Genomic DNA, 20,768 nt, shown 5'->3' on the forward strand with positions numbered 1-20,768 from the left:
TGTGACTACATAAAGGAATATTCCAATTAAATTAATAATTATATTAAACAATGTTAATTTTTGATATTGTAAAATGAAATTCACCTACATTTGGAAGATGTTCATAAATCAATGAACTCATGTTTTCCAAATGACAAATGCATGATGTTATAAAATTATCTGTGAATAAAAGGTCCATTCAAGGTTCTTCTTAGGTCAACTGATTCTAATGTAACAGAATATAAAATTATTTTGATTTTTTCAGATTCCATTTTGAAACTAACCTTTAAATAACTTTTATCTGTTCTTGAAGAACACTACCAACAATTAGCTGAGAAGATCATTAAAGTTCCCCTCTTTTTATTTCCATCTACATATCTACATGAAACTTTGATTTTCTTTATATACCTCAGCCAATTTATTGTAAAAAATTTAATGAAAAGCAGATGTGAGAATTCAACTGCCTTCTATTAAGGAAGACATTAAATAGATTTGAAAACAATGTAAAACAATTACATTTTTCTCACAAATGCAATTTGACTAAGTTTATAGGTAGCAAGTGGAAGGTCATAAAAGAACATCATATAGCACGTGACATAATCTAATTTGATTTTTCCTATTATTGTTTGGAATAATGTGAAATAGAATAATGAGTAAGAAAAATGTCACAAATCTCAGGTACCTTTCATACTTTCTGTTAGGACAGTGGGAAATTGTTAATATTTGAATAACAACACTATAGCTTATCAACTATTTCTGCTTATTTCTACCACACTTTTTATTTATATATTGTTAGTCAATGAAGATAAATCTCATATAAAAACTATTTATATATTAAACTTGTCTATGATAAGCAATAACTAGGTTCTTAGGAGCTCACTTTTGATGTATCTCTAATATTTTGGTAGGTATGTAAGAAGTTACCTAGATTGTTGTGTTTAGTGTGAATCTTCCTGATAATGAATGTGACAAGAGAAACTATATTATCTTGTGAAAATTTTATCTTTTATTCTTAAAAAGTTGACATTTCTCCTTATTCTTCAAAGATAAAATAATCTATTAGTGCATAATGAGATATATATGGAAGCTAATCAAAGATAAGCTTCCCCATGGTCATACTTGAAGCAAAATACAAACATCAGAAAGTCATTGGCAGAGCTGTGCTTAGAAATCAGGAATAAAGTAGCATGATTTCAACCATAAAGGCAGTATATTTTTATTGGTTCCATTTTAGATAATAGAAGGTTATGATACTTTTGAATGAGCTTCTGCATTCCTTCGTTAATTTCTGGCATTGTGGTGAATATTAATAAGCACATCTTTTATCATCACAATATTAAATTTTATAACACAACGTCTTGTCCTTCCCTTTGCCAAGATTTTTAAATAGATGTAATTTTAAGAATATCCACATTAATATCACCAAAAATAGCTACAAATGTAGTAGGGAGAGTTAGTCTCTGTCAAATAACATACACATATTTTATAAAATTAACTTGCCAATATATGGTTTGAATTTAGATTATCAATATCTGCATATTATGAAACAATGTTATGTCAGAATTACACTGCAATATACAATTAAAATAAAATGATTAATTTTCTCTTATTCCTCCAATAGCCCCTTAATTCTGTGTTAAAATTTGATAAACAAATCTATAAAAGAGAATGTTTAGCTAATAACTAACAGTAAAAATCGTTGACAATGGAAAAAGCAGCTAACTGGTTTTTAGTTGCCACCTCATCGCATAACAGTGATTTCATTAGTTTCCTGTTTTTGAATAACAAATTACCACAAGTTAGTGGTTTAAAATGACAGAAATTTATTTCACAGTTTCCATGGTACGGGAGTTATGGTACAAGGTAACAAAGTGCTCAGGACCCCCGGCTAAAAATCATCTGGGCTCCCAATTCATATTGGAGCCTCAGCGTACTACCCAAACTCATTAATTGTTGACAAAATTCATTTCCCTGAAGTTGTATGACTAAGGCATCCATATTCTTACTGACTTCTGAATAGAGACCACATTCAACTTCTAGAGGTCACGCTCAGTTCCTGGCCACATGCCCCCAAAAGGAGTTCAGAGCATGATTCTTTGCTTTCTTCCAGATGAACAGGAGCACATCTCTCTGACTTTTAATGTTCTTCCAGTATTCTACAAAGGAAGAAAAGAAATACTCACAGACACACACACACACAATCCCAGGAGTGACTCTGTCTTCACTATTTGCCTTATAACATAATCTAAGCTACAGAGCAATTATACTTTCATATCTACAGATTCTGCCCACACTCAATGAGATAATATTAATTCAAGGTGTATGTTTATACCAAGTAGTAAGAATCTGAGAGATCATCTTGGAATATTGTTTACAACAGAAAACTTTTAACCTATTGGGCTTTAAATAGAAAGTTTCAGTCCAGGAACAAAATAATTTATTTCATTATTTCCAAACATATTTCTTTGTAGAAATGAATGATATTACTAACATCTTATGGCATTTATTGAGATCAATATTTATCTTCAAGTTGATAGTCAGTATTTATAGCCCCTCACTCTAAAACCAGGTATAGAGGTCAAATAGTAAGTAAATGAATACAGAATTTTCTTGCACCCCTAGAAACAACTGTACTGAGAGTAATATTTTAAATATATATAGTTTTTTAATTAACAAATTAAACTCTATATTCCAAATCAGGAGAAACATATGAAGGCAATTGTTGTATATTCCTTTAAAATATTCTTGTGTGTGTGTGTTTTGATTTCATTTGTTGCTTGACACAATAAATGTATTTTCTGCAGAGGGTGACAGTGGCAATTGGGAGAGTTAATGTGGATCTTTCTCATTTGAGAATCATAGCAATAACAGGTGCCTAAATTTCATGAAAAGACCTTAGGCTTAATGAGGTGTAGACAAATTCATCATGATCAGGTAATAAAAATCTTAACCTAAAAAATGTTTAAATCTTATATGGTTAGAGTTTGAAGTTACTGCTTAATTTTTCCTAATAAACTTTTAACAAGTTCTTATATTAATATATTCACATTTTAAGTAAAATGACACTTGGGTAATTTCCCAAGATTTACATTTTGAGGTCATATTTTCATAAAATAGTTGGCCAATAAAATAATAGAATTGCACTATTTTATCAATCATGATTTCAGAGTCATCCCAAAAGAAACAAACTAAAATGTCTTTTAAAAACACAAGGATAGTATTATGAGAAATAGATTGCTTCAGCCTATGTACAGCAGATTTAATATTTAACAATAATATGTAACCTTAATACTTAATAATTAAATAGAATTTTTGCAGTATTGCTTAATGTATGTATTATATAATGTGATATATTTGGATGAATAAAAACCTCTAATTTTGAATACAATTTTTTGCATTTATTTAAAACATTTTATTTCACCTGCAAAAAAGCATCGTCAAATGGCATATGCAAGTTTCACATTTCTTAAAAACAAGTAAATGGAAGAAATTTATTATTGAGATAGCAATAATTTGAGTAGATTTAGAATTCCTGGAAGTAAAACATTTCCCAGTTTCAAAATTACACAAATAACAAACAAACAGCTACAACAGCAACAAAATGACTTGAGAAGAAAAACATAACCTGAGGCAAACTCTTCTATTTAAAGAGTAATAAAAAAGTACAATGATAGCAGTTAAACATTTCAAAAGGGGCAGCAATGAGGAGAGACCAGTTATATATTGAAGGATTCTCTTGAGTATGCTGTTTATGAATATATATGTGCACTCATTTGCATACACACACAGACACACATACACAAACACAATACATCTATTCTTCCTGGTCCCATTTTTGGTATGCCATTATCTGATATCAAAAATCAATGAAAATGTATGCAAATCTTTCTTGCAATCTTTAACAAAAAATAAATTTAAATCTTTTCTTGGCTGTTTCAATCTCTCATTCCTGGAACATGTCCCCAATCTTACTTCTCTGTGCTACATTCAACAAACTATTCTTCCTCAAAGGAAAAAAAATACTTTTTTCTCTACCTGTTCCTCTGTGACCTATCATACCTGGTCTATTCTTTTTATTAAATTTCCCTTTCCAACTGTAAATCAGCATAAGAATTTTAGAATTATTCCATAATTATTTTTCATTAATACATAATAGATCTACATATTTTAGGATACATGTGATAATTTGACCACTTCATATGATATGTAATGATGAAATAATGATAATTGGTATATTCATCACCTTAAACATTTATCTTTATGCTAGGAACATCTAAATAATTCTCCTCTAGCTGTTTAGCAATGTACAATACATTATTTAAACTGTAGTCACCCTACTGATCTATCAAATACTAAGTCTTATTTCTTCTAGATAGCTATTATTTGTATACATTACTCAAACTCTCTTTAGCTTCTTCTCCTTCTTATCTTTCCTGGCCTCTGGTAACTACCAATCTGTCTTCAAGGAATCCGCCTTCTTAGCTCCCAAATATGAGTTAGAATATCCTACCTGTAGCAATTAGGCAAGAGAAAAAAAGAGCCATACAAATTGGAAAGGAAGAAGAAAAATTATTTTTGTTTGCTGATGACATGAACTTAGAAAAATCTAAATACTCCAGCAAACCAGAACTAATAATTCAGTAATGTGCAAAATATAAAATCAACTTACAAAAATCAGCAGCAGTTATTTGCCAATGGGGAACAGGCTGAAAAAGGAATAAGGAAAGCGATCCCATTTGCAATAGCTAAAAAATATAAAATACCTAGAAATAAACTTAACTAAAGAGTAGAATGTCTCCATGAGGAAAACTACGAAACATGGATGAAAATAATTGAAGAGGGCACAAAAAAAGAAAAACATTCTATGCTCAACAAAAGAATTTTCAACCCAGAATTTCATATCCAGCCAAACTAAGCTTCATAAGTAAAGGAGAAATAAAATCCTTTACAGACAAGCAAATGCTGAGAGATTTTGTCACCACCAGACCTGCCTTACAAGAGCTCCTGAAGGAAGCACTAAACATGGAAAGGAACAACTGGTACCAGCCACCGCAAAAACACGCCAAATTGTAAAGACCATCGATGCTAGGAAGAAACTGCATCAACTAACATGCAAAATAACCAGCTAACGTCATAATGACAGGATCAAATTCACACATAACCATATTAACCTTAAATGTAAATGGGCTAAATGCTCCAATTAAAAGACACAGACTGGCAAATTGGATAAAGAGTCAAGACCCCTCAGTGTGCTGTATTCAGGAGACCCATCTCACATCCAGAGACACACATAGGCTCAAAATAAAGGGATGGAGGAAGATCTACCAAGCAAATGGAAAAAAAAAAAAAACAACAAAACAAAAACAGGGGTTGCAATCCTAGTCTCTGATAAAACAGACTTTAAACCAACAAAGATCAAAAGAGACAAAGAAGGCCATTACATAATGGTAAAGGGATCAATTCAAGAAGAAGAACTAACTATCCTAAATATATATACACCCAATACAGGAGAACCCAGATTCATAAAGCAAGTCCTTAGAGACCTACGAAGAGACTTAGATTCCCATACAATAATAATGGGAGACTTTAACACCCCACTGTCAACATTAGACAGATCAATGAGACAGAAAGTTAACAAGGATACCCAGGAATTGAACTCAGCTCAGCTTCAAGCAGACCTGATAGACATCTACAGAACTCTCCACCCCAAATCAGCAGAATATACATTCTTCTCAGCACCACATCACACTTATTTCAAAATTGACCACATAGTTGGAAGTAAAGCACTCCTCAGCAAATGTAAAAGAACAGAAATTATAACAAACTGTCTCTCACACCACAGTGCAATCAAACTAGAACTCAGGATTAAGAAACTCACTCAAAACTGCTCAACTACATGGAAACTGAACAACCTGCTCCTGAATGACTACTGGGTACATAACGAAATGAAGGCAGAAATAAAGATGTTCTTTGAAACCAATGAGAACAAAGACACAACATACCAGAATCTCTGGGACACATTTAAAGCAGTGTGTAGAGGGAAATTTATAGCACTAAATGCCCACAAGGGAAAGCAGGAAAGATCTAAAATTGACACCCTAACATCACAATTAAACGAACTAGAGAAGCAAGAGCAAACACATTCAAAAGCTAGCAGAAGGCAGGAAATAACTAAGATCAGAGCAGAACTGAAGGAGATAGAGACACAAAAAAACCCTTCAAAAAAATCAATGAATCCAGGAGCTGATTTTTTGAAAAGATCAACAAAATTGATAGACTGCTAGCAAGACAAATAAAGAAGCATTGAAAAAATGTAATATTGTTAAAACGTTAATGTTATGCAAAATGATTTACAGATTCAAAGCAATCCCTATCAAAATACCCTTCTTTTTCAGAATTATTTACTTGGCTGTTCAATTAAGGCATAAAAGTAGGGTGGCAGAATAAGATTTTTCAGAGTTCACTGAGCAAGAATGGAGGAGAAGCTGAGAGAAACCATTCAAGATTTTTATCTGATAGATGGAGAACATAATCCATCAAAACACCTCTTTGTATGAGTTTTTATCACATGATTTGATATACCTTTTCTCATTATCATAGTAAATGTTCTTGAGTATACTGTATATTGTAAGGTAATATGTTTTTTATACTATAACACCTCCTAATCTCTCAACGGCACTAACATGTGTGAGGCACCTACAAAAGTGAGGACCCAACATAAAGACAGAAAAATATAAAGGTTTTTAACTAATAAAGAATAATTAAATTCTATTGCTTTGTATTTTTAATGAATAGTAATTATGTTTATGAGGTACAATATAGTTATACACTGTGAAATGATTAAATCAAGCTAATTAATCCATCACTTCACTTACTTATAATTTTTTGTGGTGAGAACATTTACTATCCACCCTTTTAGCAATTTTGAAGTATGAAAGTATTATTAACTGTGGTCACCATGCTGTACAATAGATGACTAAATCTTATCCTGCTATTTAATGGAATGACCAACATCTCCCCTTTTTCACACCCTTCCACCAGCCTCTGGTAACCAGCATTGTACTCAAAATTTCTGTGAGTTTCACATTTTCAGATTTCACATATGGGTAAGATCATGAAATATTTGTCTTTCGGTTCCTGACTTATTTTACTTAGCATAATGTCTTCCAGGTTTATTCATGCTTTTGGAAAAGACAGAATGTCCTACTTTTGTAAGACTGTATAAATTATATTATTTTGTATGCTAAAAGAGAGTTAAAGTCTTACTCACATGTTGGCAACTAAATCAAGCAGAGGACAGATTTCTGTTTAACATGTACTTCCCTTCCCAGATTTCTGAAGTATAGAATTAAATGCAAATATTTTACTTTGCAGTGTTATAAGAACACAAGAAATGACTTTTGGAACTAAAATGTACCCATTCAGATACTGAGTTTCTGATAACATGACTGTCACGTGGGAGACAAGGCAATTTATCTCCAAGAAGTTAAAGTTTAAACATACTTTCTAGAATATCTTTTGTTTATTTGTTTATATAAGATTTTTAGCACTTACCCTGTGCCAGGCACAGGGCCAAGTACCTTAAATAAATGAACTCATTTTATCCTCACTACAGCCCTATGAGCTTATCCACATTTTGCCAGGGGGAAAAACAAACAAACAAACATGAAAAGCTACCATATGTAGTACTCTTAATTACTATTAAGTGAAATAACTATTTCAAAAGTATTTACTTGAAAAAACTAATATTATAAGAATCTTTCCATATTAAAATTTATCATTACAGTTTAATGATTTTTAAAAAGTTGATGTTTACATAATGACAGACATCAAACGCGCAGTTGGTCTTTTCTTCATATTCTTCCTTTCATATTCTCTTCCTCCCTCACCTTTTCTATACAAGGTCAACTGCCTTAAAATAAAGGTAGAAGTGGAGAATGGAAAGTCCAAACTAAAGAGATATATTACTTTCCTCTACTACAACTGCTTTTGTATGCCTTTGCCCTATGTCCATTTCATATATTTCTAATCTCATTTTGGTTCCTTCTCAAACAGACAAAACACTTTTTAAAAAATTTCAGTTATCTTATTCATGTACTCCCTAAAATAAATTTGAAAGTGTATATCAACATTTACATTTTAGTTGACTTCTGTAATTTTCCATTATTAAAGTTTAAAAGGTTACTAGTAAAGGCTTATAAGAATTAATGATATATCAAACATAAAATTACCACATATTTTCCAGGAAGCCTGGTGAGGAATTGAGGAAGTGCAGAAGGGAAAGGGAGTAAATAAGAAGAAGGGAGTGGGGTTAATGAATGAGTTACTGCTATGGACAATTGTAGCTCAGTTCTGCTGAAATTGCTCTTAACGACTGAGTAGTATATATATTTGATATGGTTTTGCTGTGTTCCCACCCAAATCTCATCTTGAATTTCCACATATTGTGGGAGGTACCCAGCAGGGAGGTAATTGAATCATGGGGGCAAGTCTCTCCTGTGCTGTTTTTGTGATAGTGAATACGTCTCATGAGATCTGATGATTTTATAAAGAAAAATTCCCCTGCACAAGCTCTCTCACTTTTCCTGCCACGATCCATGTAAGATATGACTTGCTCCTCCTTGCATTCCACCATGATTATGAGGTTCCCCCAACCATGCATAACTCTAAGTCCAATTACACCTCGTTCTTTTGTAAATTGACCAGTCTCGAGTATGTCTTTATCAGTGGTATGAAAACAGATTAGTAAAATATAAGCATCTCATTAAAAGAAAATAACTATGGCTTATTTCTTCACCTCCATCCCTTATTGGTAGAGGATTTCTCCTGGAGGCAGCAATTTCAAGGCACTTCCTTCCCTGTCTTTCCAAATTTGAGTTAAACAGGCTCCCATAGCCAGAGGAAACCCTAAGTTAGCAAGATGCAAGACTTCGGGCAAGATGCTGTCACTGTATGAGGGCCATGTCCACCAAACTGTACCCTGGGGTGGCCCAAGGGCCAAGAGCCAGATGCTAACAATGTCAAATTTAGCATGTAATCCCCATGAAACTGTGATTAAGTGAGTTATTTTATTTAATTATAAAAATCTAATTTCTAAATCAAAATTTTAGGATTCTGCCATAACCACAATTGTTATCAGATAGGAAAAATAAAACTTTAAACATATAATTAATAATTACAAAAACAAAAAATATTATTACAAATGCATCTCCTTATTGAATAACTGTACCTTGTTTTTTAAGCTCATAACTCATGGCTGATTATGATATTCTTGCTAGAAAGAAGCAAGAGTCAGCATCATTCTTCAACTTCATAGAAGTAAGGAAGAATAAGTCTTCTATATGTGCACAAATAGATATGCATGAAGGGAGATCTGTTGTATTAACACAATTAAACTAAACTTCTGTTGAGTTATAAAACAAAACTCACATATTGATATTAGCAAAGTTATTTTAATGAGCAGTTGATTGTTTTGTGTAGTTCTTTTTCAATTGTATTTAGATCAAATTACTGCAAATTACTCAGCTTACGAAATATGTATTATGTTTGCCCTAGAGTCATTAACAATCTTAATTTCTTACAATTATACTAAAGATGTGGTAATAATGGACTATTAATCCTTCTTGTTATTTATTCATTGAGGCAAATTGTTTAACTCAGTATAACCTTGAAATGACTTTCTAAAGAGAACAAATACTGAAAAAAGCAAATATTTCACTCATTGTATTTAGAAAAATTCAAGAGACTCAGAGAAGTATCCAAATGATTTAAATCTAATTTAAATCAGCATTACCAAACTATATTTCTTTGGTTTTCAAATTTTATTTACAGATAATGACACATTCTAGAGATGATTACTGCAAATTGCAAAAAGGAATTGCTTACTTTTCAAAATGTGGACACTCGTATGTGGGTGTATACATGTATGTGCACATTCAGTATGTTTTATTGATGCTCTCTTTGCTTTGTTCTCACAGGCCTCTCTTTCTCAATGGATTTACATTTTGTATTCCAAATGAAAGATGTAAAGTCATTAAAAGAAAATCGTCATTGCATACACACTCCTATACTGCCAAATGTCTTATTTTAGAACAAGATCCTATTTCTATCTGCAGGCTTTACCCTCAGCAGACATATGTAAAACTGTGAAAAAAATAAAGACATTTTAGCTATTCATTAAAAGAAGCATCACACGTTGAATTCTCTGTAGATTTTCCATGGGGCAATTTATCTGATAACAATTAGGGGTAGGTACATATAATAATAGAAAAAAAATGACTCTACTTTTGCTGTTGGATTGCTAACTGACTTCAAGCTCCACCACTCCCTCTTCTCCTTTGCTTCACACCTGAACTAACTGGGGCCCCTTTTTTGATGCCCTCTCTTTTGGGACCGAAACAACACAAGTCCTAGCTCCCTTGCTTAAGAAACTCTAACCACAGTCAAAGCCAAGCTAGTCTCCCTTTCCTACTCTCTCAAGTGAATTTTGGATCTGCTTGGGAGTTCGCCCCTCTGTCCACAGAAAGTCTTATGTTCTGAAAAAGTAAACTTTTCCTATCCTCGTTGTGAGTGTGTGACTCATTAGACTTGACATCTTTTGAGTTCTTCACGTCCCCAACATATTCTGTAATCATCATTCATAACCTTTTACAATAGAAGTAACAGTGATAAGACTATGTGGGACTGATAGTGTTTAAATTGACATGACAAGGGAAGTGATGTTTTGCCATGAAGATCCTTGGATACATCCCTGATGCCTGGGTGAGGTAATTCACAGCATTGTACCTACACCCATTAAAGGAGTCATGACATAAAGACAGGTAAGTCATATTATTGCTGTTTCAAAAACAGAGAAGAGTATCACAAATGTGACATTTTCTATTTGAATGTAATATAAAATCTAAACCTATAGCTTGGAATTCTATTAATCAAAAAGTGGCTTGATTAGTTCTATTTATCAAAATAGATGTTTTGAATATTTATCAAAATAATGTTTGATTTGTTCTATGTATCAAAAAGTTCAGATGGCTTATTTTAAGCATACTTCTTAACAAAACAAGGGAATTTTGATTTCATTCTTGGATTCATCAAAGATACTGATCTTAATCAGAAATTTATATCAGGTGGAGAAAAAATACATCAGTGAATAGAAAAACTGAAGTCCTCCAGCTCATTGGATCTTTTGAGATGTCACTGAGGTCCTTTCCCCTTTCTGGACTACAGTTGTCTAATCTGTAAAATAAAGATTATAATTTAACAGTCAGAATGACACTTGATTATTCACTTCTTACCTAAAATATAAAGTTCTGTGATATGTTTGTAGACATGAGAGTTTGATGAACTTATGTAACCTAAATAACTACTTAGGGCATTTGTGCTCCTGTGTGTTTTAGTGTGTGTGTCTGTAAATTATAAGCTTTCAGTCCACCAGACTAAAATTAGCATGCTGAATGCTATCTCATGACCTCAGGTTTCATAAAATTTCTAATACTGTCTAAGCTACTCTCTGTTAGAACATTTTTAATGATAATAATATCTATATTGGCTTTTGTAAATATATGTTTTAGAAATGATTTGCATATGCCTCCTGTAATTTACATCATGACCGAGTTTTTCTCAAAGATATGAGAGACACCTGCCATTTTTATTCTACAAAAATTAAGTAACCTCTAATTCAGATTCTTTTATAACCTGGAAGCAAAGAAGAAGTCCTGTCTATGTGAATTTTGTTTGACACATTGGTTGAGTTTTTTAGTTCAGACAGCAATAGCTTAATTATATGAATAGAGAGCTCCACAAATTTCTAATGATTGCAATGATTACTTGTTCACTTTAAAATGGGACTAAATAGCTCTTATTCTATAGCTTTTATCATGATCATCTTTTTTTGTACCTTTCCTACCTTTCAATGGATGTATTTTGCTTTAGAATATATTTCAGCTTATCCTTAAGGGTTCTTTCTGCCGTAATTAATTCCAAATACATTTTTCTTTCTTTTTGACAGAAGTACCTACCCCTAAGATTTAATGGGTCAGGCTGAGAACTGTTCTGGTTTTGGGGGATCATTGAGCTACATGATATCAGATATATGACATAGCCTTCTCTCATATGCCTTTTATTTATCATATAGGATATTAGAAGGGACAAGTTAATCTTACATTAAAAGGCTGGACAAAAAGTAAAAGAATGTGTGATAGGGGGTCTAACCCCTGTTCATCCTGCAGTATTTTTCTCAGCAGTTTTAGGTGCTATAGCCCTGACTGAATTTGGCTTTGAATTTTTATCAGTCGTCTTTCATTTGGAGCAAAAGTACAGAATAATGCTTACAAAATAGCAAGAATAATACTTATTATTCTAATTATGGCAAATGTGTGGTATGTTAGGCAAGGTCTGATAATTTTGGATGAATTCTCATTTTTTAATTCTAAAAAAATCCTACAGGATAGTTTCCATTTTTTATAGGCTCACTTAGCACATCAGGAAAAATAAGCCCAGTTAGATCCTCCCATGGTGGCTGCAGTTACCCATATTACATCCAAATATCATTGTGTGCTTTACTGCTTTCCCATTAATAAGGTCCCCCATAACCATTTGCATGGCCTCGTTTTGATGGCATGAGTACCTGGGTTCCATTTTCATAATACCATCAGGTGATAAGAAGATTGATAAGAATGATCAATAGAGCAAAAATAGAAAAATTAGCTACTTTTGGAACTCTTAATTTCATTCTTTCCCAAACTCTCTTCCTGATCTTGTCATCTTCGTGATTTATCTTCACTAATGAAAGCCTCAATGTATTTCCAAAAGAATGAGGAGTATGGGAGCAATTTTTGACTCAAAGTCTGTTCATCAAAAGTGCAATTAAGAAGCAATCCTAGAGAATGCTTTTGTATTTCTTCCCAACTATTTAAATTGTAAAAACTTTGATTAACTCTTTCTCTTAGTATAATGTGGCGTTATATATAACTGCATATTAGTTATTTAAAATATAAATATATATTTTTTTATTTTAAAGGTTTATATGTTGCATAATCACATATGCATTTGTATTTCTATCAAAATTTTCTAACTTTTTGCTTTCCAGTCCTATTTTTATTTAGAATGTGTAATTAAACAGCCTGTTTCATACAGAGGTTAAAGCCAAAAATTTTGTTTTCATGTAAGACCAGGAAGATACAAATGTACACACATATTTTTATAATAACAAAAATCATAAATGTGCTATTTTGTAAAAAAAAAAATCGAGAATACTAAAGTACTCATTGCCATGAAAGGGGTGGGTGATATAAAACAATGGTTAGAAGAACAGATTAGAAATCAGATTGTTTGAGCTTTATTTTTATTCCATCATTTACCAGCTATGTAATCTTCGAAAGGTTATCATCAGTGTTTTCCTTGCCTCCTGTAAAATGGGGAAATAATAATATCTCCTTCGTAATGGCTGCATGGAGATTTAAATAGATGATACACGGTAAGTCTCTAATTTACCGTGTATTATCTGACACATAATAAATATCTAAGGAATGTTAACTTTTACAATTTTTAAAATTTAAAATTTTTGAAATTGTCTTTGTTATTTTAAATTTTAAGCTTAAATGGAGTTGTAATTATTCAGGGTATATTTTAATCTTTAGTGTAATAACAAATCTGTAGTTAAATAAAGCAAGTATTGTAATAAAACAATTTTTTCCTAACATACGATTAAAAATCCTGAAACTTGTCAGTATTTCTATGCTTTGGATATGTGCATTATTATTGCATATCTCTTGGGTAGTAAATTTTTTCTCAGCTTAATTAAATGAAGCCATACTAAAGTTTCCTTCATTCACTGAATTTTCTCTTTAATGTTAAATAATAAAGGACCTTACCAAATAGCTCTTATCGGAAGCAAAAGGGAAGGAAAGAAAAAGCAAATGCATGAAAGGATAAATGAAAGGAGAAAAGCTGTGCTTGGCCTGGCCTTGAGACTCTCTCTGGGAGAGAACTATCACGTGGTGTGAAGTTGGGACGTTGTTAGCAAACAGCACCTGGGACAGGGACGTTCTGTGCAACCTGGCAGGTGCTGTATGGCGGAGGTTGCTGTTTGCCATTTGCAGCTCTGTTGTCAGACATGACTGCAGAGCTGGCTTAATCTGGAATGTACTTCAAACCTGTGAGGTTCATAGGACTGCAATTATTACATTTGTATGGGCACAGAGAGACACTCAATTTTGCGTTTAATTATTTAAAAGGTCAAACCCTTAAGCCTCAATGCAGCAGCCAGGATCTTTGTAGTCGGTACTTTAAACAATCAGTCTCTCTTTCCAGAGATATTGTGCAATGAGTGTACAGGTGACAGGAAACAATGTGTATTAAATGTGGATCACCTCCTCTTTCTCTTCTGATATAAATGTACTTCCCATCATAAAAACAAATATAAACATATCAAACCCATGTTACAATATCAGTTTTTTAAATTTTTAACTTGAAATGATTTTAGAGTTATCAGAGTTAAAAATAAAACAAAAAGCTGCACTTTACCCTTCACCTAGCTTTTCCTCAGATTGATACCTTGAACAACTATATTATAATTATCACAACTAAAAAAATCAAAATTGTTACCACACTATTAATTTCACTATAGGCTTTATGTAAATTTGACTGCTTTTTCCAGTTATATCATTTACAGTTACAGGATCCAGTTTTTTATAGCAATTTTCAGCCATCATTACCTTTTTTTAGTAAGCAGTTAATATTATATTTAAAAAATGAATATAGAATTCTACTATCATTGAATTATATGGTATAAATATATGTATTTATTCCCCAGTTTATTTTCAAAAGCCCACTTATGGACTTTTATTCTGGAAGGCTCAGGAATTTTAAATGAGAGTAGATACCAAAATATTAAAAGTACTACAAAGTACATTTCAAATTAATTTCCTTAAAATATTGCTTTATACTATTTATTTTAATGGAAATAATTATATTGTGATTTAAGTAAATCATTCATAATAAATATTATATAAGGAAGGATAACTGTTTTCTTCCTTTTTCTTAGCCCTACTGACCCCAAATGAAACCACTGTTAATATTTTTTTAAATGTTTTTAAAACAATAGAATATTTAGGATATTATTTTATCTTTGTACATTTCCTTCATTTCAATAATTTTAACAATGTGTACACAATCATATCTGATACATTCTACTGAATGTTGAATATTCAATTTATGGGCACACTATGATTTATTTTACAGGTTATAAGTTGTTAACCATTTTTTATTATTTTTATTTTTGTTAGAGCCATTAATTCTACTATGCTGGACTAGTCAAGAGGGCCCTTTAGATATTCTGTAGGGTGAATTCCTCAGAGGGGAACCTTTGGGAAAATGATAGTCATATTTCATTTTAACAGCTATTGGCTAATTGCCCTTCAAAAACAATTCCAAAAAAAGTTAAAATGTGACCAAACGTGTATGAAAGTACCTATTTTCCACAGCCCTTCCAACAATGAGTACTATGTAAACTTCTAAAAAGTATATTTACCAATTAGGTTGTTGAATGAGAGAACATGGTTTTGTTTGATATAGTGTCTTAATTACGAGGTGAAACATCTTTTCAGATGCTTACTAGCCATTTCTGTTTCTTGACATAAAAACAGTTTTTTAACCTACTGATTTTTGCTACTCTATTTTTTATTGATTTTCTAACATTACTGGACAAACTAACACCCGTTCTCATTTTCAGTGCTATTTTAACTATAATAATGCTTGTATTCAAGCACATCTCCAGAGACAGCACTCTAATTCCAGGCCTCCATATTACCTTATTTACTTAAAATTGTTGTTGTTGTTAAGCAATTTTGTCTTTATCTGTAACTTTTACAAATGTTGTCACAATTCCTAATGGTTTCAAAACACTGCAAAACTATACATGCTAAAGTTTTTTAGACTATCTGAAATACAGCACAAATTTGATCATTTGCTTCCCTAAAAAAATTATATATACAGACACACACATGCAGTGTTAAATTAGTAACACTTAACTCTTTATCTCATTAGTGCTGCATTGCCACCTCTGACTCCACCCCAAATATATTATTTCCATTTGATTTTATTTAGGGAATTTTCATGCAGAAGCATTTTGTTTTTGTTGTTATTTAAGGGTGTCAAAATTCTCAATTATTTTCTTTCAGGTTTCTGGATTTTTGGTCAGGCTCAAAAATTTTTTGAAAAGTAATTTTGATAGTTTGTGCATTTTTGTGCATGCGTATAGGGGCATTTAGCAGGGTTACTGAAATACAGTTCACATGGTGTAACACTCACTCATTTTTGAGTGTAAAACTCAATACCTCAATCCAATTTGAGAACACTTTCTTACCACTAAAAGATACCTTGTGTCCATTTGCAGTGACTTCCTGTTGTCTTTCTTTCTGTGTAACTAGATTTGTCCTTTCTGAACATTTCATAGTAATGAAATCACCCAATCACACAAAAATGTGGTCTTTTGTGACTAGCATCATTAATGTAGTATAGAGTTTTTGAGATTCATCTAAGTGTTGGCATGTATTATGTCTTCCAATGCATGAATATGGATATCTGTACATTTATTTATATATTTTTAAAAAATTCTAAGCAATATTTTATAGATTTTTATGTACACATTTCTGTACTTCTTTAGTTAAAATTAATCTCAAGTATATTTTATTTTTCATGAGATTGATAATTGAAATATATTTGTAGTTTACTTTTAGATTATTCATTAGTAGTATGTAGAAGGAACAGTGTTGTTATCCATTTAAAATGATTTTGTAGATGAAGGAGACTTATATTGGAAAGTATACTGGACAAGTAGTCAAAATTTTATATATATCTATGAAATATATAAAAATATTTAAATATTTATATGTAAGTATATAGAGACAGTGTGTATAGTACAGTGTATATATAAGTATAGAGTATATACTGTATAGTAAACTAAGACTATATATATACTATATATAATTCTGACTATATGTGTGTGTGTATATATATATGCATATATATATAGCTAAATTTATACTTTATAATAAAATTATATAGTATGGTTATTTTAACATATTTTATTATATATAAAATTATAAAGTATAGATTTAGGTATAGAAAATCTTAGCAGATTTTTGATGACTATGAACATCTGGCAGGTTATTCAAAGCTTTATAGGTTAAAGAAACTATTTAGTGTTTGTGATTCTGGCATATCTAATTCTAGGAATATCCCTCACCAATCATTATGGCAATCACAAAATATCCTATTACTTTGAAAAATTCTTAGAAGATATTATTGTGCTCTCCTGCGAATCACTATAAAGCTTACAATGCAGTGTCAGAGCCTCTGTTCCCAGACAGTGAGTGTGTCATTCATTAGTGCCGAGAACAGTACCTGGCATGTAAATCATTCAATATGTCTGTTAAATTACTGATTTTTAATGAAAAACTTGGAGCTTTCCAATGACAAATTCACCATCTTATTGAGATGATTTCATGAATGGGACCGTATCTATATTTACTGCATTATTTGGGTATTGGTGCTTTCTATACAAGGGGTATAGATTTCCTTTTACAGGTCGGAGAAATGAAGACCAAGGAGTTTAAATGACAGAACTTTATATTTTTAATTGAGGAGAAATCTCAATTTGATTTAAAACATCTTTGTTGATTTTGGTTGAGATCATTTGGTTGAGATCATTGAGATTATTTAGTTGAGGTCATTGAGATTATTTAGTTTATTCTGCCAATTTGAAAACAAGTCCCCTCCTTCTATAGCATCATTCACATGATTACCTAAGCTGCTCAAAAATTTCCACTGAAGTAGTTAATATACTTAAAAGAGAGAAATACTTGTATAAGTAACCCTTTTTTGATGGGAAGTATGCATTTTTAAAAAGTAAAAAGATTTTGTGCCTCGTTGTATCTAATCATACTTAGTCAGCTGTTTCTCTTCTGGAAGAGTATAATTTGCTTCCAATATTAAAATAATAGCTTCTTAAATAAGAAAACTCAACTGTAATGTTTCTCTTTTGTATTCATTTCTCCAGGCAAAATAAAACGTAGTTCTTCAACTTTCTTGATTTAGTTTTATTTTTAATCTTTAACCAGCATGGTCACATTCTTTTAAACTGTTTAGATCATTGACAGCCTTTTAAAAATATCATAGCCTTCTTAAAATTAAATATAGTACTCTAAATGTGTTTTTAGTGGAACTCGTGCGATCTTTTTTTTAATCAAGAATCACATCATGTTGTAGATGTTTATCTGTTTATATGTCCTTACTATACTAGACACTACTTGATGACAAATACTTTATCTTAGTTATCTCTGCATAAGGAGTAGAAATAAAGTACTGAAATGTGTTAACATCTTTATATACTATGAAACCATGCTTTCATATTTAGCTCTGATGTTCAATTATGGAAGATGGAGATGTTGACACCCTTTTCAATAAGGCAATGTAAAATTATTCTTGCCATATGTTTTATTATATCAATTGCTTATACTTGTGATGTAATTGAGCACAGATTTGCTTAATTCAGGATGTAAAAATTACTGTTTTGTTATTTAAAAAAAACAAAATGAGTGAATAGAAAAGATAATGGTTCCTAAAACAATCAGTACTCGCAAACCTTAGACGTAGTTGCTTAATCATAATTTTCTTTTTCTGAACATCACCAGAAATGAATTCATTAAAGTTTTCCATAACATTTGGTTCTGCAGAAAAAAACTAACATAATATCCATAAATTTAACAAACACAAACTTTTTATATATGTCTAATTTTGTGGTGTCAGTATTTCATTCATTGCTATTTATTGCTTTCATTAATTGCCATTTTTAAGACTTCCTCCTCTGAGCCTAGATGCTTGTGGTAAACCTTTTCAGTATTCACCATACTTGTACCCCCTCATCTTTAGAACAATAAGAAACTTTCCTACTTAGACATATTGTTCAAATTATGTTTACCTGAAAGCCTCTTGCTTATTTTTAAGGCATCCCTAATTTTTTGGTAAGAAAATTTCTTTTTTATATTTCTTACATTCAAAACTGGCACTTGTTTCAGAATTCACCATTTTGTTATTCTTGGTTTTGGTCGTGGGGGTGCATATTTGCTTTCCACTGCCTTCTCTGTATTCAGTTTTTACATCTCTCTCAGAGCATCAATCTCATTATCTGACGTAAGCAAACATTTTTTTCCCCTTACTCAACACTAATTGTCATCGGGGGAAGTGCTACTACATTTGTATTCAGGAACCAGGAATTCTGATATCCTGTAAATCCCATATTTCTTGAAAGGAATAATACCAATAACAAAGAGGAAGTGGGGCAGTACAAATGGATCCAGCAAATGAGAATGTGTGGCCAAATGCAAGGTAAGAGGGCAACTTAAATGTATTAGGTTACATATTGAATCAATTTTAAAGCATGCAAAATGTAGTGGCACTATCAATAGTTGTTGAGATGAAGTTTTGATTATATAAACTTTATACATTTTTGCTAATATCAGTGTAATGTCTGTGAATTAAAGTCAGCACGGATTAAATTTAGAATAGTAAGGATAAATGTGAGTCTACAATTTTCAAGAAAGAATGATTACATTCAGTATTATAATTTATGTACAAAATGATCATAGATATTCCATAGATATTCAAGATACTAACTATAAGTAAGGTTGTTCTTTATAAAAGCCTATTCATCCAGCTTGTTACTACTATGTGTTAATGGCTGATTGTAGCCAGAAAGAAATAATCTTATATTTATGTATTGGCAAAGCTTACAAGAATGAGCAGAAATAGAGTGGAATAATATTTTGAAAAAATAGTAGCTGTGCCATCCCAAAGGCTACTACATCTCATGAGCAAAACACCAAAAAGTACACTGTACACTGAGAATCAATCTAGTCTTAGCAGGAGGATTCAACAGCTTACAATGGGTGACAATATTTTAATTATTTTCTTTAAAAATATGGTTGGCACTTAAATTTATTCTCAGGTGTCTGTCAGGTACCATTTTTTATAAAAATTCTAGTTAACAATTAAGAAAGGTAAGATAGTGGTTGGGAGTGAATTATTGACTTATGTAACCCTCAAATAAATTATTCCTTTTATCCATATCAGATTGACATTAATTTTTTTCAAGCATTTTGGAGTAATCACATTTAGTTGTATGTGTTGTTATTAACAGTTATGATATGATTTACACATATGGGAAGATTGTCAATTTACAAACAAATACATCTAAAATGATAAACAAATAATTTTGAAAAAAACTATGCATTTCTTAGTTAAGCCTATCTTGGAAAAATAAAAATAAATTTAAAAAAGCATTTCTGTGGTTTTGTGATCTGTTTGGTTTTGTGCTTTTTGTTTTTGAATTGCTTTTCATGTTGTCTCATATATTAATATTTTTATCCCCATGAGCGAATCTCTGAGGTTGTTCCTGTAGCTACAAAATCCAAATACGGTTTTCATCAAATATAGCATCCAAGCCTCTGTGCAGAGAAACAAGACTACTCAATTTCTCGCCTGATTTGTATTTAGCTTACTCAGGAGGTTTTAAGTGGCACAAGAAACCATTGAAAAAATAATTCCTGAAAAAATACATTATGTATTATTTGTTCTGCCCCAAAACGACTTTACTCACCACAATATTAGGGAAGCCACTTTTTCCTTATGGTTTCTTTGACTCTGCAAGACCTTAGGGTATAAACTTTTCTTTAAAATATAGGTGCAAATATAGAAGCAAATACATAAAATGAACAAACATGTTTATACACACA

The 20,768-nt window shown here is 31.5% G+C and overlaps 1 long non-coding RNA gene across 1 annotated transcript in view; it reads right to left on the minus strand.

Moving 5' to 3' along the window:
• Positions 1-1,778: 1,778 nt before the first annotated feature.
• LOC124901816 (uncharacterized) overlaps positions 1,779-20,768 on the minus strand; it is a 39,766-nt gene continuing 20,776 nt past the window's right edge. Inside the window, exon 2 of the long non-coding RNA XR_007060648.1 lies at positions 1,779-2,135. This is a non-coding gene — a long non-coding RNA (uncharacterized LOC124901816). The remainder of the gene's footprint in view (positions 2,136-20,768) is intronic.

Source organism: Homo sapiens, chromosome 7, assembly GCF_000001405.40.
Source record: "Homo sapiens chromosome 7, GRCh38.p14 Primary Assembly".
Classification (NCBI taxonomy): domain Eukaryota; kingdom Metazoa; phylum Chordata; class Mammalia; order Primates; family Hominidae; genus Homo; species Homo sapiens.